Here is a 25793-nt window from a genome sequence, read left to right on the forward strand (position 1 = left end):
ATGAATATCATTATATGTCATCACTCTTTATGTACCTTTTGATTATTTTACTAGGAAAAATGAGTACCCTGTCAAAAGATAAATTTTTTTTTTTTTTTTGAGATGAAGTCTTGCTCTCGTCCCCCACGCTGGAATGCAATGGCGCGATCTCGGCTCACTGCAACTTCCACCTTCCAGGTTCAAGCGATTCTCCTGCCTCAGCCTTCCGAGTAGCTGGGATTACAGGCGCCTGCCACCACGCCCGGCTAGTTTTTATATTTCTAATAGAGATGGTGTTTCACCATGTTGGCCAGGCTGGTTTCGAACTCCTGACTTCAGGTGATCTGCCCACCTAGGCCTCCCAAAGTGCTGGGATTACAGGTGTGAGCCACCGCGCCCGGCCAAAAGATAAAATTTTTAAAGCTCTTACTATGTATTTCAAAGTCAGACTCCAAGAATATTATACCAATTAAGATCTCCACCAACAGAATATTATATTCCACAAGGTAGAAAATATCTTTAGTTTAAAGGTTTTTCTTAAAAACAAACAAAAAAATCTTAGGTCTAGAGTAGATGTTAAAAATACTAACTTATGTTTTAAACATTAAAATAAAACTTTCCCAATTGAAAAGTAACATGTCTACTTTTGTACTAACATGAAAAGTTTATGGTGAGAATAAAATAAAATGATAATTTGCATTTGCATAATTTCTTACCTAATTGAAATTTAATAAATGAATATGTGTTCTGAGAAATACATTTTCATCATTGTGCAAATTCCATGGAGTCTATTTACACAAACCTGGATGGTTTATAGTATGGCCTTTTGCATCCAGTCTACAAACCTATACAGCATGTTACTGTACTAAATGCTGTAGGCAATTTTTTTTTTTTTTGAGACAGAGTCTTGCTGTGTCACTCAGGCTGCAGTGCAGTGACATGATCTCAGCTCACTGCAACCACCACCTCCTGGGTTTCAAGCAGTTCTTATGCTTCAGCCTCCTGAATAGCTGGGATTACAGGCACCTGCAATCACACCCAGCTAGTTTTTGTATTTTTAGTAGAGATGGGGTTTCACCATGTTGGCCAGGCTGGTCGCAAACTCCTGACCTCAAGTGATCTGCCCACCTCACCTCCCAAAGTGCTGGAATTACAGGCATGAGCCACTGCACCCGACCTACTATAGACAATTGTATATACAGTGGTAAGTATTTGTGTATCTACACATGCAAAAGGTACAGTAAAGATAATGGTGTTATAATATTATGAGACTACCATCTTATGTGCAGTCTGTCATCGACTAAAATGTTATGCAGTGCATGATTATAATTGGAAAATTTGCTAAATAGATGTATTTTGTCTCTCCATGTAAATTCATAGTAAACTATGCTCTTTGTTGAACAGTATAGATATTTCACTAATATGCAAGGAAAACTTTTTTTTTTTGGAGACAGGGTTTCGCTCTGTTGCCCAAGGTGGAGCAAGGCTCCTTGCAACCTCTGCCTCCTGGGCTCAAGTGATCCTGCCACCTTAGCCTCCTAAGTAGCTGAGATGACAGGTGCGTGCCACCACACCCAGCTAATTTTTGTCATTTTTCAGTAGAGACAGAGTTTTACCATGTTGCCCAGGCTGGTTTTGAACTCCTAGACTCAAGCGATCTGTCCACCTCAGCTTGCCAAAGTGCTGGGATTACACGCGTGAGCCACCTTGTTCAGCTGGAAAACTTTTTAAATGTCCTATCTTTCAATTTGAATAAAAATATTAAATTGAATTTTAAAAGTTTTTCTTTTCTACTGTTTTTTTTTAACATATCAGAAACTGTTGCTTTGTTCATTGTGTACTAAAATCTCATTCCTAAAGGAAAGCCTCTAATTTAAAATATTGTCTTAAGATAATTTTTTTTTTTCCTAAGGCTGTTTGGGCACTTGGTAATATTGCTGGTGACAATGCAGAATGCAGAGATTTTGTTTTGAATTGTGAAATACTTCCACCTCTTTTAGAGTAAGTACTTTATCACAATTAAGTATATATCAAAAACTATATACTCCATGATATTCTACATACATAATTAAGTTCTTCAGTCATACTTGTAAATTTGTCTTATGGTTATCAAGCCTGCAGTAGCTTGACAGCAGGTAGAACCAAGAGAAATTTTCAAATTGTTATCTCTGTCTTTTATGTTCCCTTAAACCACACGTAACAGTGGTCATTGCTTACTTGATGCTTACTGATCTAAAATAATTATTCTGCAAAAACAAGGATATATAGTAGTTTATAATACAATAAAATTTACATATTGCTATAGTAGGGAATCCTTAATACTTGAACAGACAGTATATTTAGGATGTCAGTATGTTTTAAATTTTATTAAAAGAACCAAGATTTTAAGATAGAGATTTTTCTTTCAGGATTAGAGTTTTACTTCAAGTGATTTATCTAGTAGTTTCTTCTACTACTTTACGTATTTTTTTAAAAAAGAAATTACCCTATAATGTAAGGTCCTTTATAGAAATGACATAAAATTTTTTGAAATACAGGTTTATACATATTGTTTATGATTAAGAGGATCTTTATGTAGGATAAATGCTAATGGCAGGTAGTGAAGAAAAATACTAATCGAGGAGATGGCTAGAAGTAAATATTTTACTCTTCATTTCTGCATGGAGGTGCGTTTTCCATGCTCTCCAGCTGAGGAATTGAATAGGAAGAATACATTTCTAGACACTAGTTTTCAAAAAACATTTTACTCTAGCTTTCTGTGGACAGAAGTTATTTCTTGGCATGGTTTCACTTAACCAATATTAATCGAAGATCTGTGTACAAACCACTGAACTACTCACTATAATTTCATTTATTATGGGCTTAAAGTTAATGGTCCATAGTAATTGAGAATTTAGCTGAGCTATAAAAGAAAGTACTGATTTAGAGTTCAGTATGAATCATTTTGAAGTCTGTACTATTAAAAACATCTCTTAAAGTTTCAATTTGAGACTTGTCTCACCTGATTTATGTGGTATATAAATTAACTGAGCACTTTTTGTTTTTGTTGTTCTGTCTCTATGTCATTTTATTATTTGTTAATATCTCAAGTAGGTAGTGGTTTATGAAGTAGTAAACATTTCTTAGGTCTAATCTCTTTAAATGTCCTAAGGAGTCTTTTAACCATGGCTGAAACCAAACTAAAAAATAAAACAAAGGAAGAATAACCAGTACCCAGCTATGTAGTAATAGTTATAAAAACAATTTCAGGCTGGGCGTGGTGGCTCACGCCTGTAATCCCAGCACCCTGGGAGGCCAAGGCGGGTGGATCCCCTGAGGTCAGGAGTTCGAGACCAGCCTGACCAACATGGAGAAACCCCGTCTCTACTGAAAATACAAAATTAGCTGAGTGTGGTGGTGCATGCTTGTAATCCCAGCTACTCAAGAGGCTGAGGCAGCAGAATCGCTTGTACCCAGGAGGTGGAGGTTGTGGTGACCTGAGATCATGCCATTGCACTCCAGCCTGGGCAACAAGAGCGAAACTCCATTTCAGATAATAATAATAATTTCCAAAAAGGGTATTAAAAAGTTGGAAAGTTTCAGAGTTTCATTATAAAACTTCGTCTTAGAAAGTTTCAAAGTATTTAAAAAAATAAGAAAAGTAATTAAAAGGAAGTTAAGTTAGATACTCTCTCTGGAGTTGGGCAAAAGGAAAAATTTTCAGCTTAAAAAATGATTATGCAGGCCGGGCGCAGTGGCTCACGCCTGTAATCCCAGCACTTTGGGGAGGCCGAGTTGGGTGGGTCATGAGGTCAGGAGATCGAGACCATCCTGGCTAACACGGTGAAACCCGATCTCTACTAAAAATACAAAAAATTAGCCAGGCGTGGTGGCAGGCGCCTGTAGTCCCAGCTACTCGGGAGGCTGAGGCAGGAGGATGGCTTGTACCCAGGAGGTGGAGCTTGCAGTGAGCCAAGATCACGCCACTGCACTCCAACTTGGGTGACAGAGCGAGAGACTGTCTCAAAAAAAAAAAATGATTATGCATTATTTGTTGTTCACATTGTAATTCACATTTAGTAATGCTTAAGTAAATGTAAAACTTATTAATGTATCATTTTATCTGTTTGAGTGATATTTTAATTTATTTTATTAGTATTCATTTGATTCTCAGTAAATGTAAATCTTTTACTACTATAAACTATCCTGATACAATTTTGCTGTAATTTAACTCAACTTTAATTTATAATGTAGCATATTTGTACTTTCTCATAATAACCCCATTAATACAAAAAAAGAACAATAGTATACAACAGGGGTTGGCCAGCTTTATCTCTCAGGTCAAATCTGGCTTGCTTCACGTTTTTGTAAATTAAGTTTTATCGGAACACAGTCACACCTATTCATTTACTTAATGTCTTTGGTTGCTTTCATGCTACATCAGCATAGGTGAGTAATAAAAACGAGAAGGAGGGCCTGCAAACCCTAAAATATTTACTGAAAAAATTGTCAACTCTTAGCATACAAAAGCAGTATAACTATTTTATTTCTAAATCTGTTGTATTTTGGGGAAATCTAACATCTATTTTTAGGAAAGCCTTTAGAACAGAAACTTTTTTTAGTGTAATAGAATACATGTAACCAGTTTAACCATTTTAAAGTATACAATTTAGTGGCAGTAAGTAGATTTACAACATTGTACAACTATCACTGCTATCTAGTTCCAGAATTTTTTTACCACCTTAAACAGAAACCCAGTACCCATTAAGCAGTCACATCCCGTTTTGCCATCACCTTGTGCCTTGGAAACTACAAATCTGTTTTCTCTCTCTATGTATACTGTATATATCACATAAGTGGAATCATACAATATATTACCTTTGTGTCTGGCTTCTTTTAGCTTACTGTTTTCAAGGTTCATCCATATTATAGTGAATGTATCAGGATTTCGTTCTTTTTATGGCTGAATTATATTCCATTTTATGCATGTGCCACATTTTGTTCATTCATTAATAGATGGACACTTCGGTGTGTCCACCTTTTGACTACTGTAAATAGTGCTCCTATGAACATTCATGTACAAGGTTTTGTCTCAGTACTGGTTTTTAATTCTTGTGGGTATGTAAATACGTAGGAGTGGAATTTGGTAATATGGTAATTCTATCTTTAATTTTTTAGAGACTACCAAACTTTTTCACAGCAGCTGTACCATTTTACATTGTCCTAGCAATGTATGAGTGTTCTAATTTCTCTATATCATCACCAACACATATTATCTGTTATTCTGATTTAGATCATCTTAGTGGGTGTAAGTTGACTTTTTCATTTCTATAAAAAAGTCATTGTCATTTTGATAGGGGTTTCATTTACTCTGTAGATCACTTTGAGCAGTATTGCCATCTTAATAATATTAAGGCTTCCAATTCATGAACCTGGGAAATCTTTTAATTAATTAAGGTCTTTAATTTTAACAACATTTTGTAGATTTTAGTAAACAGGTCGTATACCTCTTTGGTTAAATGTATTCCAAAGTATTTTATTCTTTTTTATTCAAATGTAAATGAAATTGTTTTCTTAATTTCTTTTTTGACTTGTTCCTTGGTAGTGTATAGAAATACAACTAACTGATTTTTGTGTGTTGATTATTTATTTTTTTATTTAATTTGAGACAGGGTCTTGCTCTGTCACCTAGGCTGGAGTGCAGTGGCATAATCTTGGCTTACTGCAGTCTGTGCCTCCCAGGTTCAAGCGATGCTCGTGCCTCAGCCTCCCAAGTAGCTGGGATTACAGTCGTGTACAACCATACCTGGCTAATTTTTGTATTTTTAGTAGAGACGGAGTTTCACCATGTTGGCCAGGCTGGTCTTGAACTCCTGGCCTCAAGTGATACATCCCCCCTTGACCTCCCAAAACTCTGGGATTACAAGTGTGAGCCACCACACCTGGCCTGTATGTTGATCTTGCATCCTGCAACTTTGTTGAATTTATTAACACTAATAGTTTTTTTGTAGATTGTTGTGGATTTCCATATATTAGATCATGTCATCTGTCAATAATGTTAGTTTCATTGCTGAGCATAATGGCACATGCCTGTAGTCTCAGATACTTGGGAGGCTGAGTAGGGAGGGTCGTTTGAGGTCAGGAGCCTCCTGGGTTCAAGCGGTTCTCATGCCTCAACTCTCCCAAGTAGCTGGGAATACAGGCGTGCACCACCATGCCTGGCTGATTTTTGTATTTTTGGTAGAAATGGAGTTTCATCACATTGGCCAGGCTGGTCTTGAAGTCGAATTTGAGGTCAAGATCATTTGAGGCTGTAGTGCACTATAATAATGCTTGTGAATAGTCATTGCACTCTAGCCTGTGCAACATGGTAAGACTCCATCTCTAAATTTTTTTTAAAAAAAGATAGTTTCATTTCTTGCTTTCCAAGTTGGCTGTGTGAATTCTTTTTGTTGCACAGTTGCTTTGGATAGAGCTTCCATTACAATGTTATTTAGAAGTGGCAAAAATGAGTGTCTTTGTCTTCTTTCTTATCTCAGAGTAAAAACTAACTCTTTCACCATTCAGTTTGATGTTAGCTATGGTTTTTGATAAATGCCCTTTATCCTGTTGAGGTAGTTTCCTTCTATTTCTTTTTTTTTTTTCGAGACGGAGTCATGCTCTGTCGCCAGGCTTGAGTACAGTGGCATGATCTTGGCTCACTGCAGCCTCTGCCTCCTGGGTTCAATTCTCCTGCCTCAGCCTCCCAGGTAGCTGGGACTACAAGCGTGCACTACCACGCCCAGCTAATTTTTGTATTTTTAGTAGAGACAGGGTTTCACCATGTTGGCCAGGATGGTCTCCATCTCCTAACCTCGTGATCCGCCCGCCTCGACCTCCCAAGGTGCTGGGATTACAGGCATGAGTCACTGTGCCTGACCTGTTTAGTGTTTTTATCATAAAAGGATGTTGAGCTCTTTTAAATACTTTTTGCATCCAATGAGATAACTTGTTTTTTTAAATTCATTATATTAATATGGTTTATTATTTTGATTGATATTTGTATCTTGAAGCTTCCTTGCATTGCTTGGTTAAATGCCATGTGGTCATAGTATAAGCTGCTAGATTCAGTTTCCTAGGATTTTGTTGAGGATTTTTGTATGTATATTCCGAAGAAATATTTTTTCTTTTGTAACTTTTGTTTTGATGTCTTTGTCTTTGGTATCAGGGTAATGCTATCCTCATAGAATTGATGAGGAAGTGTTCTCTTTTTTTAAAAAAAAAATTTTGCGGCTACATAGTAGATATGTTTATTTATGGGGTACACGCGGTGTTTTGATACAGGCATTCAATGTGAAATAAGCACATAATGGAGTATCTATGCCTTCAAGCTTTTATCCTTTGAGTTACAAATAATCCAGTTACATTCTTTCCATTATTTTAAGTGTTCTCTTATTTTTTGAAAGGGTTTGAGAATTATTCATTAATGTTTGGTAGAATTCACCAGTGAAGCCATCTGGTGCTGGACTTTTCCTTTTTGGGAAGTGTTTGATTAGAATTCTATATCTTGTTATAGTTCTATTTAGATTTTCTATTCTTAAGTCAGTTTGGTAGTTTCTGTGTTTCTAAGTGGTTTTTCATTTCTTCCAGCTTATCTTTCTTGGCTTTTGATGATAATATTCTCATATAATTTTTTTTTGTTGAAGTGCTGATAGTAATGTCTCTACTTTCATTCTTAATTGTAGTAATATTATTTTATATATATATATATATATATTTTTTTTTTTTTTTTTTTGAGTTGGAGTCTTGCTCTGTTGCACAGGCTGGAGTGTAATGGCATGATCTCGACTCACGGCACACTCTGCCTCCCGGGTTCAAGCGATTCTTTCACCTCCGCCTCCCAAGTAGCTGGGATTACAGGTGCATGCCACCATGCCTGGCTAATTTTTGCATTTTTGTAGAGACATGGTTTCACCATGTTGGCCAGGCTGGTCTTGAACTCCTGACCTCAGGTGATCCGCTTGCCTCAGCCTCCTGAAGTGCTGGGATTACAGGTGTGAGCCACCGCGCCCAGCCAAATTGTAGTAATATGAATCTTTTTCCTTTTGTCCATCTAGATAAAGGCTTGTTTTTGTTGATTTTTTTTTTTTTTTGGGTCAAAGAACTGCCTTTTTGTTTAGTTGATTTTCTGTAGTGTTTTTCTATTCTGTATTTTATCTCTGGTCTTAACTTTATTTTCTTCCTCCTGCTAGCTATGAGTTTTGTTTACTCTAATTTTTGTAATTTCTGAAGGTGGAAGGTTATCTTTTTTTCATATGGGGTGTTAACAACTATAAATTTTTTTCTGAGTATTAATTTCACTACATCCCTTAAGTTTTGGTGTGTTTTTTTTTTTATTTATCTCAAAGTATTTTCTGCATATGTGTGTGTGTGTGTGTGTGTGTGTGTTTTAACTCACTAGTTATTTAAGAGTATGTTACTCTACTCATAGTTCTGAATTTTCTAGTTTTCTGTCTGTATTTTTAGTTTCATTCCATTGTTGTCAGAGAAGATACTTTTTATGATTTCACTTTTCAAAAATTTATCAGAGCTCAAGTGATCTGCCTGCCTTGGTCTCCCAAAGCCTCCTGAGTAGCTGGGATTACCGGCATGTGCCACCAAGCCCAGCTAATTTTTGTATTTTTAGTAGAAATGAGGTTTTGCCACGTTGGCCCGGCTGGTCTCAAATCCCTGCCTCACGTGAGCCACCTGCCTTGGTCTCCCGAAGTGTTGGGATTACAGGCGTGAGCCACTGCGCTAGGCCTAGACCATGTAAGTTTTTAAGTGATACTTCTTTTTCTTTTTGAGACAGAATCTTGCTCTGTTGCCCAGGCTGGAGTGCAGTGGTGCAGCCTCGGCTCATTGAACCTCCGCCCCCAGGTTTAAGTGATTCTCCTGCCTCAGCCTCCTGAATAGCAGGGACCACAGACACGTGCCACCATGCCTAGCTAATTTTTGTATCTTTAGTAGAGATGGGTCTCACCATGTTGGTCAGACTGGTCTCGAACTTTTGGCCTCAGGCGATCTACCCACCTTAGCCTCCCAAAGTGCTGGGATTACAAGCATGAGCCACCACATCTGACCCATGTGTTACTTCTTCCTGATAGATTGACTTTTTATCAATATATGATGTTCTTCTTTGTCTCTGAAAACAATTTTTGACTTACAGTCTAGTTTGTCTCATTAGTGTAACTATTCGGATCTCTGTTATTATTTGCATGGAAAATCGCTTCTCGGCCTTTTGGCTAAGATCAAGTGTATTATTTGCATGGAAAATCTTTTTCTATTTCACTTTCAACCTATTTATGTCTTTGATTCTAAAATGAGTCATTTGTAGACAGCATCGTAGACTTATGGGTTTTGTTTTGTTTTGTTTAATATATTCTGCCAGTTACTACTTTTAATTTGAGAGTTTAATTCATTTACATTTAATATAACTACTGATAAATGGGGACTTACTTTTGCCGTTTTACTATTAGTTAAGCTTTTGTAGAGACAGAGTCTCGTTATGTTGCCTAGGCTGGTCTTAAACTCCTGGCCTCAAGCGATTCTCCTGCATTGGCCTCCCAAGGCACTGGGATTATAGGTGTGAGCCATAGCACCTGGCCATTGTTATTTGTTTTCCACATGTCACTTTTTTTTTAAAATAATTTATACTATTGATTCCTTTCTTGTTTCCTTTCCTATTTTTTTAAAAAGTTTTTTTTTAATGTACCCTAAGGAGTATAATTAACACTTTAAACTTGTAACCACCTTGATTGAATTACTCGCAGTTTACCTTCAAAATTATACAAAAACACTACTCCTATACATATCTGTCTCACCCTTCTTAAGTTGTTATTGCCACAAATTGCATTATTATACATTGTGTGCCCATTACCCTAGATTTATAATGATTTTTTTTTTGCATTTTACTTTTAAGTCATGTAGGGAAAAAAAGAGGAATTACAAACCAAAAAATCCATAATACTAGCTCTTAGAGTTACCTATGTAGCTATCTTTAGCAGTATTCTTTATTTCTTTGTATGGTTTTGAGGTATTGTTTATGGCCCTTTCATTTCAGCATAAAGGATTCCCTTTAGCTATTCTTGTAAAGCCAATCTGCTAGTGATGCCTTTCCTCAGCTTTTGCTCATGTGGGAATCTCACTTTCTCCTTCTGTTTGGAAGGATTGTTTTGCTGGATATTGAAGTCTTGGTTGAGAGCAGCACTTTAAATATGTCATCCCATTGCCTCTGTCCTTCATGATTTTTGATGAGAAATCGGCTATTGATCTTTATGAGGAATCTTTTTACACTACGGGTCACTTCTCTCTTTTTGCTTTCAAGATTCTGTCTTTGTCTTTTGATTACTTGTGTCTTGGTATGTGTCTTTTTGAGTTTATCCTTAGAGTTTATTCAGCTTCTTGGATGTGTAGATTCATTTCTTTTATAAAGTTTGAAAAGTTTTCAGTAATTATTTCTTCAGATATTCTTTTTGCTCCTTTTCTTCTTGGATTTCCATTATGCATATATTGGTATGCTTGATGGTATTTTACAGCTTTCTTAGACTGTGTTCATTTCTTGTCATTCTTTTTCTTTCTGCTTCTCAGTTTGAATAATTTCAATTAACCTATCTTAGGGTTGTGGATTCTTTCTTCTCCCTGCTCAATCTGCTGTCAAACCCCTATAGTGAAATTTTAATTTCAGTTTTATACTTACAGCTTCATAATTCCTATTTAGTTCCTTTTTATAATGTCTGTTTCCATAGTGATGATTCTCTATTTGTTGAGACATTGTTTTTCTAGTTTTCTTTAGTTTTTTTGTGCATAGGTCCTTTAGCTCTTTTGAACATGTTAGACAATGAATTTAAAATCTTTGCATAGTAAATCCAATGTCTGTGATTTCTCAGGGAAAATTTCTTTTAATTTATATATTTCACTGTTAATGGACCACACTTTTAAAATTTCTTTGCATGCCTCATAATTTCTTGTTGAAAAACTGGACTGATTATTGTAACTATGGTTAACTATGGAAATCAGATTCTCCTCTCCTTCCAGGTTTTCATGTTGCTGCTTGTTGTAGTTATTTATTTGGGGACTTTTAAAATTAATTTTATAAAGCCTCTATTCCTTGTCATGCGTGGTCTCTGAAATCTCTTTTCCCTTAACTCAGTGGGTAGCTAGTGGTTTGACAGCAGAGAGTGCTTTAAATATCTGGAGCCAAAAATAAACAAAAAGAAAAGTCTCCAGGTTTTTACAGATTGGCCCTGCATTGAGCCACCTCTTCAATTCTTAGTCAGGCTGATTACAGCTATGACTTAGCACTACTTTACTCCCTGCTTGTGCTAAGCCTAAAGGAAAACTAGAAGTAAAAGCGTAGGTCTCTTCATGTTTTTTCTGATTGTGGACTCTGCCCTGGACATGTGCATGGGCCTTCAGACTGTCTGATACATGTGGGAGCTTTTCACATCCCTCATAGCCCAAGTATCTTACTCCCCACCTTTCCAGCCAGGTTTTCAACATGTGTCTTGTTTGCCTCAACTGTATCTTTTGTTGAGGTTTCAACATCTCATTCATTTGCCTTTTAATGTTTTTGAGGACCATTCTTTATTTACAAAGCTACTTTTCCACCCTGAGAGAATTCCCAGTTATGCAAAACAAAGGCAAGCCCTTTGCATCAGTTTTTCAGGGAACCTCCAAACAGGTCAAAACAGACAAACACAATTTCTTGGAAACAAGTTCTGCTCTACTCCTTCCAGAACCAGGAACCCACAGTGAGAACTCAGGCTGCTGTCTTAAAGGTTGCTGCCAGGCTGGGGAGGGGGTTGCGTAAGAGTAGGTTAAAATGCCGCAAAGCTTTCCTACTACATTTCAGCCCTTTCCTGGTTAAAAGTTATCTTAGTTGCCATAAACTTTTGACTATCTTCAGAGTTCTAATAAACTTGATTCTGACAGTGTTTGCAAGTTTCTTGGTGTTCCTGGGAGGGACAAGCACCTGGAGTTCCATTCTGCACCATTTTTGCATATGTCACTCTAAAACAGGGATTTTTTTAACCTAGGTTCTTTGTACTTCTAGCAGGTTTGTGGAGGTCCTTAGGAGGTTAACAAACTCCTGAAATTGCATGCCAAATTTTGATGTATGTGCTTTTTTTCTAAGGTAAGGATCCATTATGGTCTCAAGGGGGTCCACAACTCTAAAAGTTTCAATTACTACTATTTTAGGGGCTCTCCTATTTAAATAACTAAAACATAAAGTTATGCTTTGAAAAAAATACCTATAAGTAGTAACTCCTTAGGAGCTGAGAAGAAAAATTCTCATTTTAGGTACTCAGTAGATACCAAGGTTCATTGCAAACTAGGTAAAAAAATACTAAGACATACTCTGTTAAAAACACAACAAAAGAACTTCTCTTGTCAATAGGTAATCTTTATATAATTTAAAACTGTATTCCTTGCTTTCTGAATTCATATATTATTTTCATGATTAAAGAAATTAATCTGGCCGGGAGTGGTGGTTCACGCCTGTAATCCTAGCACTTTGGGAGCCTGAGGCAGGTGGATCACGAGGTCGGGAGTTGAAGACCAGCCTGGCCAAGATGGTGAAACCTTATCTCTACTAAAAATACAAAAATTATCCAGGCGTGGTGGCAGGCGCCTGTAATCCCAGCTACTTGGGAGGCTGCGGCAGGAGAATCGCTTGACCCAGGGGGCAGAGGTTGCAGTGAGCCAAGATCGTGCCACTGCACTCCAGCATGGGTGACAGAGTGAGACTCTGACTCAAAAAAAAAAAGAAAAAGAAAAATTAATCTAGTATTCTTTTTAATATATATAGAAATAAGTAAATTTCCCACGGCATTCTCTTAAGAATTCTTTTAAGAATTCAGATTGTAGATTCACTTTAGAAAATAGAACTGTAATATGCTTATTTAGCTTGTGAAAACATAATGAATTTTAGATTCTTTTTTCCTATTTTGCTAGTTTGAATATCTTATAAAATATATTGGAGAGAAATTTTGTATTATGATAGCTAAAGAGGAAAAATGAATGTAAGGTGATAATTCTTTTTTTTCTTTTTCTTGGCAGGTTATTAACAAATTCAAACAGACTCACAACAACAAGAAATGCCGTGTGGGCCCTCTCAAATTTATGTAGAGGCAAAAACCCTCCTCCAAACTTTAGTAAGGTATGAGTAAAATACACAAATTAAAATATTTGTTTCCATAAACCTAAGTTTCTATATAATAGCTTTTTGATGTTTAAGGAACTCCACTTTTTGTTTAGTAATTATTTTCTTTATTGACCAATGTTTGCACATATACAGTATTCAAAAGCTTTACAATATAAAGGAAGTGTCCCTTGTACTTTTCCTCACACACCTTAAATTCCTGTGCCCAGAGGCAGTCACTGCAACCACATGTATCAAGGAATTGATTTCAGAAATCTTCTAGTCTAGCTCTCTCATTTATAGGAAAATAAGTCCCCCAAAAGATTAAATAATTCCTTTATGTTCACCATTTGTACTTTTTCATTGTAACTTTTATCTCTTAGGATATCTGTTTCCCTATCTACTGATATTTTGCCTCTAGAAATACAGATGATTAATTAATTCCCAGTTTAGTTGTATTGTTTAAGATGCTGTTAGGAAGGTAGAAAGGGGGTAAATTTTTAGAATACCATTGTACTTCTTTTGAATTTAGTATCTAAAATGGCACAATGACTCTAGCACTAAGAGAAGTTTAAACTTTGGTAAAGATCTAGTGATAAAGTTTCTGGGGATAAAAAATAATACATTTCTAATTCACAAAGGTAATGCATGAACTAGTATGCCTTCTCATTTTTACTTTTCATTTCATTTCATAAGATATTCAAAAGACACAAACTCAAGAGTTGAGATTTAATAAAAGTAGTAATTTTTACTGCCTATTCACGTTAACTCTTAAATAAAACTGGCTCTTCCCCACCCACTGCCCTTTTAACCGAGGTGAAGAATACAAAGATAGGTAGTACATTTTGATACTACTGCCGTGATTTGTGCTAACATGCCAACAGTTTTACCTGCCAGTGTTTTTGTACCTTTAGTGCAAATGTCAACAAAATGAGAAAGACGAATGATGTCTTAGTATTATTATGAAAATAGTTTTGACATCACATATACCCCCAAAAGGGTTTTAGGAATCCCCCAGGGGTCCATGGATCACACTTTGACAACCACTGTCTTACAACAGTCTCCTTGTAGGTAGCTACTTGACTGATTCCCTCATCTTTGTTTGCTTAGAAGTCACATTTTTTTATGAGCTCTACTGTTACCACTATTTTTAATAATGTAATCTGTCACTGTGGTACCGGTGGAAGGTATCCAAGTTACTGGTGGCAAATCCATATGGGTCTGCAGCAACCTCATTTCTTGCATCCTCAGAAGAAAGAATTCAACTGAGAGCATTAGGTAGAAAAAGAGACCAAGGCAAGTTTCAGAGCAGGAGTGGAAGTTTATTTAAAAGGCTTTAGAACAGGAAAGAAAGGAAAGTACGCTTGGAAGGGACCCAAGCAGGCACTGAGGTGAAGTGCCGTGTTTAAATTAACCTTGATCCTAGGACTTTATAGACTGGCCCCTTTCCCATGATTCTTCCCTTAAGGGTGCGCTGCCTCCATGTCCAGTGCCCTCCTTACACTTGGGAGGTGAGCATGAGCAGTGTGTTTAGGAAGTTGTATACATGCCCATCTGAGGCTTTCTTCCCTTTTCCAATAGTGTGCCCCCCCCACCGCCAGAAAGTTATACTCCGTCATTTTGTCTCTTAATGGACATGCCTGAGAAGTTGCATCTCCTTGGTGCCTGCATTCAGTTAACACTTTAGTGCAGCAGGTGAGGATCATCAGGAAATGGCCTCTTCCTGGCACCGGCTGCCAATTTATCACTTTTAAAGATGTAATGTGATAATTGCCAAACCATCACCTGACATTCCTAGTGGGTGGGGGAGCAGCCCTCTCATGCCCTGCTTAAGCGTGTCTACCTACTGTAACAACTGCCCTCACCCCATGAGTATACCTGACCTTCTTCATTTTTACTCTGTTTCTTTCAAATCACCTTTTAACATAATATATGTGTTTTTCTATGTCTTTTAATTTTTTTTTTCTTTTTTTTTTTTTTGAGATGGAGTCTCGCTCTGTCACCCAGGCTGGAGTGCAGTGGCACGATCTCAGCTCACTGCAACCTCCGCCTCCCGGGTTCAAGCTATTCTCCTGCCCCAGCCTCTTGAGTAGCTGGGATTACAGGCGCATGCTACCTCGCCCAGCTAATTTTTGTATTTTTAGTAGAGACAGGGTTTCACCATGTTGGTCAGGCTGGTCTCGAACTCCTGACCTCAGGCAAGCTACCTGCCTCGGCCTCCCAAAGTGCTGGCATTACAGGTGTGAGCCACCATGCCTGGCCCTTATTTATGTATTTTAATTTTTAAAAATCTTCCACTAAAATGTGAACTCCTGAGGGAAACTTTGTCTGTTGTTTACTTATGTGTTCCAAACTTATGAAATAATATCACATTTTGGGGCTTAAGACTTGTTTGTTAAGTACATTTTCTGTAATTTTATATGAGAGATTTGTTTTTTAATCATTCACTTTTTTTGAAATTTTCTTTTTTTTTTCTTCTTTTTTTGAGATGGAGTTTCACTCTGTCGCCCAGGCTGGAGTGCAGTGGTACGATCTCAGCTCACTGCAACCTCTGCCTCCCGGGTTCAAGCAATTCTCCTGCCTCAGCCCCCCAAGTAGCTGGGATTACAGACACCTGCCACCATGCCTGGCTAATTTTTATATTTTATTAGAGACGGAGTTTCACCATGTTGGCCAGGCTGGTGCCAGGTTGGCCAGCTCAAGCTCCCGACCTCAGGTGATGATCTGTCCATCTCAGCCTCCCAAAGTGCTGGGATTACAGGCATGAGCCACCACACCAAGCCGGAAATTTTCATTTCTACAATCCTATTTTATCTTTTCAATAAGTAGTTGTCTTGCTCTCTGGTTGCTCATCTTTATGTAGAATTCTGTTCTTTTATGGACCCAGCAAATTGTCATATCTAAGGATTTATAGTGTTATTTGTTTGTTTGTTTTTTGGCATCTTTGTTTCTTTGTGCTTTTTTTGTTTTGTTTGTGGTTTGTCTTAATCACTTTAATGTTGGAGGCTGTCTTCATTTATCTGGTGATTTTTGAACAAATTTCGGAAGAAACTAAAAACTGATTGGAAATGAGTGTATAAATGGACTTCATTGTAGGATAATTGGGCAGCAAAACCATATTTTCTTAGAGGAACACTAAATTTCAGTCTCTTTTGTGAGACCATTCAGTTTTTTTAGAGACAGATTTTGCATTCTTTTGCTGGAAGATGGGTAGATTGGGTTGAGGTATAGAGTAGGTAACATACCTGGCTACTACATATCCTGCAGCTGGGCACTGTGTCTCATGCTGTAATCCTAGCACTTTGGGAGGCTGAGGTGAGAGGATGGTTTGAGCCCAGGGGTTCGAGGCCAGCCTGGGCAACATTGTAAGAGCCTGTCTCTACAAAAAAATTTAAAAAATTAGCTGACTGTGGTAGCACATGCCTGTACTCCCAGCTACTCAGGAGGCTGAGATGGGGAGGATTGCTTGATCCTGGGAGGTTGAGACAGCAGTGAGCTGTGATCATGCCACTGCACCTTGAGCTTGGGCAACAGAGCAAGACCCTGTCTCAAAAATAAAAAATACAAATAATAAACATCTGGGAACTGAGTATTGGGAAAGAGCTAGAGGTTTTCACTAGTCAGTATGCAGACTTACACTTATCTCCTACTTTCTAGTCTAGTGCTTCATTTCAACCTCCACTGTGCTTTATATCCCAAAGTTCTGTTTCTGTGATTCACATTTTGTTGTCCAGTTTCTCCTTCAAATAAACTTCCAGTCTTTGGTAGCATTGAGAATGCTAGTCACCTACCTTTGTAGTAGGGACCCAAAGTCTATCCTGCTTCTTATCAGATTTTTAACCTCTTCCTCTACTTTAGCACCGTTTCCCCTGCTGTCTGTGATACCTGGTTCCTCTGATTTCTAAGCATTTGGAGTTGATGGTGGGGAGATAAATTAGCTTTCCTCTTATTGGTAGTTCCCTCTCCTGGCATTAAGCTTCCACTTTTCTCCCCTCTTCTAAGTCGGTTACTGTTTCTTTATTCACTTTTGTCTTTATATATTGTGGGCAGGATTATTAATGTCTACTGGCCTTTTCAAAGTTGGAATTTGTATTTCTGTTTCTTTTTTTTTTTCCTGAGAAGATACTGGGGCAGAAATGTTTTTACTTTGCTCACTTAATACTGGAAATAGGTATTAGTTCATTGTTTTTTAACTCAGCGAAAAGGTATATGTCAGCTATATTAATTTTTTTAAACATACTTTATATTTGCTTCAAAAACCCGATATTTGGCTGGGTGTGGCGGCTCATGCCTGTTATTCCAGCATTTTGGGAGGTTGAGGTGGGTGGATTGTTTTGAGCACAGGAGTTCTAGACCAGCCTAGGCAACATGGTGAAACCCTGTCTGTACAAAAATTAGCTGGGCATGGTGGCTCACACCTATGATCCCAGCTACTCAGGAGGCTGAGGCTGGAGGATTGCTTGAGCCCAGGAAGCAGAGGTTGCACTCCAGCCTGGGCAACAGAGTGAGACCCTGTCTCAAAAACAAAACAAAACAAAAAACGAAAAACAAACCCTGATTTCTCTGTTCAAGGAAGAGGTGGTTGGCAAGGGTGGAAGCTTGATTGCTGGAGAAGGATCCAGTTGTGCTGATTTTATTTGCCCACTAACAGATAGACATACCTATTATGTAAGCTAACTGATTTGTGTACATGAGTCCTAGGGTCATCTTTAGATGGTAACTACTTCCAGAAAATGTGGTATATATTCTGATAATCTTGAAAATCATCTTTAGAGGACAGGCCCAGCAGAGATGGTAACTGCTTTCAGAAGAGGATAGTTTATATGCTGATAATCTTGAAAATCATCTTTAGAGGACAGGCCCAGCAGAGATGGTAACTGCTTTCAGAAGAGGATCGTTTATATACTGATATTCTTTAAAATAGGGGTAAAGAGAAAAGTCATCTAAAATATTAGAACATTTAAGAAAAATGTCATCACTTTTTATTTGTGAGATACATAACATATAACATAGTTCTTTTTTTTTGTTTTTTAGTAGAGATCGGGTTTCTCCATGTTGGTCAGGCTGGTCTCGAACTCCTGACCTCAAGTTATCTACCCGCCTCGGCCTCCCAAAGTGCTGAGATTACAGGCATGAGCCACCGTGCCCAGCTTAACATACTTCTTAACTGAGGAGAAAGACTAAGGGATATGTTAGGTTGCTTATTTTAAAAAAACAGCTTTAAGGAACATAGCATCAATAGTGATCATGGGAATTTAAAAAAAGCCAACATTTGAGTGCCTACTCTATGTCAGGCACTGTTCTTAGGTGCTACATGCCTTCTTATCAGTGTAATAGTTTATTAATGACTTCCACTTGAGTACCCTTCACAAATATATTTATTTTTGTACTTTCTGTACCTTAGTTCCTCAAATGATTATTAGATTTATTTCCAGTTAAGTACATGTAATGAGTACAGTGAGGCTCATTAAAGTTAGATTATATTCTGTGATCATCATATCAAACACTTAACTGGAACATTTGAACTTCTCAGTTTTGGTATGCTTTTTTTGTGGGGGTGTGTGTGATTTAGACACAGACAAGAGATCTCAAATATTTTACTATTTTTTAAAACAAATTTAACTACATATCTTATTCAATATAACATAATAGTAGTCATAATCAGCTTCATATTCATACATCTGATTATAATTTTAAAACAATATAAATTTTCTGGTATTTTTATAACATTAAATTTTTGTTTTAAAATGAATTTCTATATTTTTCTAAGGAAACTTGGTTTTAAATAGAGAAAAAATTTAAATATGCTCTTTCTTCCCTTACAGGTTTCACCTTGCTTAAATGTCCTGTCACGACTGTTGTTTAGCAGTGACCCAGATGTGTTAGCAGACGTGTGTTGGGCCCTTTCTTATCTCTCCGATGGACCCAATGATAAAATTCAAGCAGTCATTGATTCTGGAGTCTGTCGAAGATTGGTGGAACTTTTGATGTAACTATAAATAATTTATGCTTAATAATTGTATGATTGAGATTAAAATTAGCAATTCAAGTAATAGCTTTGTAAATATCTCAAGAGTCACTGTCTTCAGGGAAAATTAAAAAGCTACTGACCCAACACTTAACAGAATAGCCATAATCCTAGAAAGTTGACCCTAAAATTTGGAACTTATGTCCTATAGTTGGAACTAATTATTTTGTAAATGAATTTCCTTAGTTTAATGTGATCTCTTTATGAATTAGATAAACTTAATAAGTATTTATGGAATGCCTGTTATCTGCTAAGGTGTTGTGTGAGACATTAATGAAGTATAGAACACAGTTTCTCCTCTCACAGAACAAATAATCTAGTTTATTATTCATTATAATAATTAATTTGAGTAAAAGTCCATGTAGTGAAAATCATTTAGTATTTCACCTCTATTAAAGATAACATGTTTCTCTTTGCTGGGCTGTTATAGCTATTTTCCTTAAAAAGAACAGCTTTTCTATACAAAGAAGTTAAAAACGTTGAAGAAAACTTGTTTTAAAAAGATGTTGTAACTTCATAACTTCATCTACTTACCCTCTTTAAAAAATGTATTATCTTCCTTCCTTTCTTCTTTTGTCGAGAAGCCATTGTAGGCCCAAACAAGGTAGATGGCACAAAGATAGGTCTGATAAGGAGTTGGGGGTCCCAGCATGAGGATAGCATCAGTGGAGGGTGGGCATGCAGGTTCAGCATGGGGGATCAGGGCCCCAACTTGATAATGACACCCACTGGGGTGAGCAGATAAGCAGGCTGGAGCAGGACTTGGAGCCAGCACATCATGGGGTACCAGTCTGGCTGAGGTAAAAGATTGGCTGATATAGGGAGGTTAGGAAAATAGAAGCTATTTCCTGTTATCGGAGAATAGAGATAAAAATATAGAAGAGGAGAAAGCCTGAATAATTTAATTATTTTAGATTAGAACTAGAAATATCAGTGTGAACTCATGGCTCTTAACATAGCTAGGTATGGAAATAAATATATACATGTGTGTAGGTATGTGTGTGTGCATCCTCTTGAAGGGCATGGGAACAGTAACACTTCTACATTAATAAGCTGAGGAAACTGAAGTTCAAATCGAAGTTTCTAAACACTACTCTCCATTGAAAGGAACCAAGATTGTTGGAGAAATGACTGGTTTCAGGACTGGGACTGAGAAAAATGTAAGATGAATGCAGGAAGTAATGAGTGCTCAAGTAATGGACAGATGTCAAAAGAACACAGAAGCCTATTTGAAGGGGTTCTCACTATCCAAACCTGGGACAGTTTGTGCTTTGAAATAAATTGCATTAATGTATATTTTATTGAATAAAATATGAAACCCATAAGTCCACACTAAAGCATGTAGTTAGAATGATAGTATTAGAAATACATCACTGGTAATAATACTAATAATTACCAATACTTCAGATAATAAGCATCAAGAGATGCTAAAATCTAGTGGTAAAGTAGGTTAAGGAGTGGGATTTTGCATTATCTCAAAGTATTTTGTTGCAAAATATTAATTATATTAATTATAAATGGGAAAACAATAATGGTAAAATGGAAAAGTCTGGCAGACATCATCATAATTAGTGACCAGAATTCAGTACCAATATAATGGGAAAAAACAGATTGGGATATAATGAAAAGGTTATAGCACTTACGATATCCCCCAGCCAAAGTATATAACCTGGGTCTTAATCATGAAAAACATTGGATAAACCCAAATAATGGGCTTATGATCTTCAAAAATGGCAAAATCATGAAAATTAAGGGAAGACTGAGAAATCATTCTGGAGAGACATGAAAACTGGCTGTAATGAACGATCCTGGATTAGATCCTTTGTTATAAAGATTATCAGAATAATTAGTAAAACTTCAATGGGATCTTTGGCTGAACACCCCGCAGGAGTTTGTAGTATTTTTGTAACTTCTGTGTAAATTTTAAATTCTTACTAGTATTTAGGTTCATGTTTTTATTATTTTTAGGCACAATGATTATAAAGTTGTATCACCTGCATTAAGGGCAGTTGGTAATATTGTGACTGGTGATGATATTCAAACACAGGTGAGTTCAAACTTGAGTATCATAAATTGTTAACATAAAGGACTTTAAAAAATTTATGTTTCATACAACTTGATTACATATTAATCAAGATTTTAGCATCACCATAATTGTGTGTGTGTCTGTATCTGTGTCTTGGAGGATGGTGAGATGTCAAAGAAGATGTGCTGTCAAGATTGACTCCAGCCAGATTTGGGTTACAATCTTTTTATTTATTTAGTAAGTTAGTTTAGTTAGAGACAGGATATTGCTCTTTCTCCTAGGCTGGGGTGCAGTGGTGTGATCATGGCTCACTGCAGCCTTTACCTCCCTGGCTTAAGCAGTCCTCCTGGCTCAAGCAGTCCTCCCGCCTCAGCCTTCCAAGTAGTTGGGACTGCAGGTGTGCACCACCACACCTGGCTAATTTATTTATTTATTTATTTTTTAGGGACAGGGTCTTGCTATGTTGCCCAAGTTGGTCTCAAATTCCTGAGCTCAAGTGATCCTCCTGCTTTGGCCTCTCAAAGCGTTAGACTTACAGGCATGAGCCAGTATGTCCAGCACAATCTTTCTTGAAGATAGAAACTTAAATTATTTAACACGTTAGATTCTCCTTTGTTTACCGCCTTACAGTGTATTTTTTATTCTAACCTACATATTTTCTTTCAGTTTTATCCTTTTAAAGGCCTATTTGGATACTAATCATAGTTATTAAATAGTTGCTCTTTAGTAATTGACAGTTATTCATTTAATATAGCTCTTGAAATGAAAATGCCATTCTAGACATATACTGTAATTTTCAGTTGGATTTCCAGTGCACTGCTCCACACTTCTTCACCAGATGAATTTAATGTAAATCATTGGAGTATTTTGAATATAGGAACATAATTAATCTTGCAATGGAATAAAGAATGTAAAGGGACAATGCAGAATATACTTGTTTACAGAAGAAGAGTAAGATAGTAAAAATTTTTATGAAGCCAATTGATTCTACATGCTGTTTTTAATGGTTGTAGAATTGGATTTTCTCAGACTGTATGATATATGTATTTTTTTCACCAATTCATTTGGCAAAACTAGAGGTTGGATCCTGACCTCGGTCACCAAATCTTTTTTCAGTTTTATCAGTTGAACTCTGAGAACATTTGTAAATATGAAGGATACACCTCTGATTTTCATTTTATTGGGTTGAGAACAGGGCAGTTCCTTATAGTGGCAGGAGACTAGGTTTATCAATAGCAGACGTGTAGAAGACAGCAAGTTTTACTTTGGGAGGAATTTCTCCTTTCTTAATTTCACTTTCTAGAATGGGTTTTGTACATCTAAATAATTCATTAGTAGATTTTCATATAGGTTATTTACTATAAAACTTTTTGTTTCCATTTCTAACTTGTTTTAGGTAATTTTGAATTGTTCTGCATTACCCTGTCTCTTACATTTATTGAGTAGCCCAAAGGAGTCAATTAGAAAAGAAGCCTGCTGGACTGTTTCTAACATCACTGCTGGAAATAGAGCTCAGATTCAGGTAACTACCCTTCAGATCTGAGAGTAGAACAGCAAGGTCTAAGAAGCCAGTTTGGACAAAAGTTAACACTTTTACTAAAAAAGATTCCTTTTTAAAAAGATACCGAAAAAGTATTTTAAAGAACATGGGCTTTCCTCCTCTAAAATAATAACATTTACTTGTAGTATTCTAGTGAAGAACATCAAGTGTGTGTGTGTGTGTGTGTGTCTAGCACAGTGCCTGACACATAATGGTTTGTCTTTAGAAAGATATTTTTTTGCATTAGTTTTAAATAAGTTATGCAATAATCTTCCTCTCAAAGCTTTTAATGATTTATTAGGGTTCTATCAAGCTTCTTGTGTCAGTGATTACTTATCCATTTTGATCAGTCACATGGCTTGTGCTTTATCATCTCTAAAATTTATATTTTGCTATTCTCCAGTCTTTAAAAAGCTAATTTCCTATGTAAAAAGAAAAATATTTGAAAAGTTTGCTGACAGAATAGAAATTAAAAATTTATTTTAATGTCAAGGTTCCAAAAACCTTGACATTTTGAAGCCATTGAGTTTCAAGATTTTTTTTACTGGTAATATTTTAGAAACAGTATTTGTACTGATTATATATTTTTCCCCCTCTCAGGCTGTTATAGATGCAAATATTTTTCCTGTTTTGATTGAGATTCTTCAGAAAGCAGAGTTTCGTACCAGAAAAGAAGCAGCTTGGGCTATAACTAATGCAACATCAGGAGGTACTCCAGAGCAAATAAGGTATGATATAAACTTCTTAATTGTTTTTTACATGTAAATGAGACAAAAGTTGAAATAAAACATATTTTAATTTACTGATGGAACTAAAATATTATTTCTAAGTCAGTTTGATAATATGAAATGACAGCATGTATTATATCAGTTACTCATTCACAATTTTTTTTTCCCCATTTAACGTGTAATTAACATCATTCTCCTTGATAGGCTGCTTAAGAAAAATCAGAGATTAAAAAATCCAAACGGGAACGGTCTATGTTAATTTGCAGAGTACACTGTCATGGGCATTAAATATTTTTTAATCACAAAAATATAGCTTTATTATATAGAAATGGCTAATAAATTTGAATATCCACTTACTTTAAATAAAATTGAAATAGACATTGTTTATATGGTGATGTTCTGGTCCTCATTGATTGTTAGCCTTGCCTATGGATAGTATCTTTTATTTTTCTATACTAGTTACCTTTTTTTTATATTAGCTTTTTGAGTCTAGGCTTTTTAAATTTATTTATTCTGCTGACAATGTAAATAATAGGTGCATGGGCTTTTAAGTCAGCCTGATTTCAAATCCTGCTCCTTCAGTAAAAGTTGTGTGGTCTTGACAAAGTCATTTAACCCCTCTAATCTAGTTTCTTCATTTTAAAAAATGAGTTCCAGTAATGAATAGTTATGGCAGTGTAAGTCAGCCTTCCATATCCTTGGGTTTTGCATCTGTGGATTCAACCACCTGCAGGTCAAAAATATTAAAAAAGAAAAAGACAGTAAAAAATGCCAGTACAACACTACAAAATAATGCAAATTTAAAAACACAATACAACAATTAGTAACATCATAGCAATTACATTGTTTTAGGTATTATAAGTAATCTAAAGATAATTTCAAATACTTGGAAAGATATGCATAGGTTGTATGCAAATACTATGCCATTTTATATAAAGGAATTGAGCATCTGTGGATTTTGGTATTGAGAGGAAGGGTGTCTTGGAACCAATCTCCGATGAAACCGAGGGACTGTATCTTGATAGTTAAGTGAAATTTATGTCTTTGAAGTGTCAGCACAGTGCCTAAACATATTATTAATAACTAATAGATAATTAAGAATAGCTACTGTTATTATTTGTAATCATCATAATTTTTATTATCAGTATTGATTCCTGAATCTTTTATCATGTACTTTCACTCTTTTTTATCTCCCATAGCAAAGTTTCACTTACACCTCTACTAAAAGCTTCTACAGAATCGTCTTGTTCGGAGGATCCCTCCATGAAACTAGACTTCTTAGAAAATATTTTCTAATGCATATTTGATTTATTTTTCAATTTATAAAACAAGTCAAACTACAGTGCTATTTTATAAATCACATAATTTTGAAATCTACCTATTGTGAAATTGTCGTCTTTTATTGCCTTCATTTGTAGTATTATCTTGCTCTCTCAAATTTGTATAGCTGTATATTGCTAGCATCTGTCTCTGCCTTTTATTTTCTATTCTATCTCTTTGCTTTCATCAGTATTTCCACTTTGTGTCATGGATACAAGCAGTAATAAATGAAGACCCTTCCTTTGTTCTATTTTGTATTTTTTTAATGTTGATGTTACTTTTATTTTATTTGGGCTGCAAGTTTGTTCACCTGCAAATAGTTGTATTTTTTCAATTAATTTTTGTGGTTATATCTATTCTGTATATTATTGCTTTAATTTATTAGTATGGATTAAGTATCCAAACTGAGATAATTATTTTTCTAACCACTTTTATCATTTCATTAAGTTTGCATATTTGGGAAAAGACCTCTTGATCTCAGATTAAGTTATGCATCCATACCACTAGTTGAGTGCCTACTATTGCCAGTTATTGTGCTAAGTAAGTCATTTCAGTTATTGAGCACCAGCAATGTGTCTGGTACTTTCATGTATTTTATCTCCTGTAATCTCTTAACTATGAGGCAGTTATTCATTCAACAGATATTTTTGACCAATTACAGTACAGTATAGGGCAAATGAGTGCTCTGGTGAAGGTATATACATCTTTTTTTTTTAAGAGGGACAGAAACTTTTATTAAATGTCTATTGTGTTCTTACAACTACTCTCTGAAGTTGGTACTATTATTATTCCCATTTTTAAGATGGGGAAACTGAGACACAGAGTAATTGCTCAAGGTCACACAACTAATAAGGGGTGGAATTGGGACTTGAAGGCACACAGCCTGGCTTCATAGTATGTTTTTAACCTTTGTACTTAATATGGACTTTTTGCCAAGTGAACAAATCAGTTACTTCATTTACATTATAGAGTACAGAAAACCAGCCAATAACTAGAAAAGGACATGCATTCAGAAATTAAAGAATTTTTTT

The 25793-nt window shown here is 36.1% G+C and overlaps 1 protein-coding gene and 1 pseudogene across 11 annotated transcripts in view; both read left to right on the plus strand.

The window, feature by feature from the left end:
* KPNA5 (karyopherin subunit alpha 5) overlaps positions 1–25793 on the plus strand; it is a 60657-nt gene that overhangs the window by 21970 nt on the left and 12894 nt on the right. For 6 of the 11 annotated variants that reach the window (NM_001366307.2, NM_001366305.2, NM_001366304.1 and 3 more), the window contains 6 exons: positions 1892–1980; positions 13039–13138; positions 18946–19109; positions 21117–21195; positions 22571–22696; positions 23315–23442. In NM_001366307.2, coding sequence (NP_001353236.1) covers positions 1892–1980; positions 13039–13138; positions 18946–19109; positions 21117–21195; positions 22571–22696; positions 23315–23442 — 686 coding nt within the window. Of the gene's footprint in view, positions 1–1891; positions 1981–12031; positions 12113–13038; positions 13139–18945; positions 20145–21116; positions 21196–22570; positions 22697–23314; positions 23443–25793 lie in introns of those variants that run through there. The other 5 variants (XM_047418751.1, XM_017010841.3, NM_001366309.2 and 2 more) reach the window with 3 other exon arrangements.
* LOC124901560 (uncharacterized) lies at positions 9202–9280 on the plus strand (annotated as a pseudogene).

Source organism: Homo sapiens, chromosome 6 (assembly GCF_000001405.40).
Source record: "Homo sapiens chromosome 6, GRCh38.p14 Primary Assembly".
NCBI lineage: Eukaryota > Metazoa > Chordata > Mammalia > Primates > Hominidae > Homo > Homo sapiens.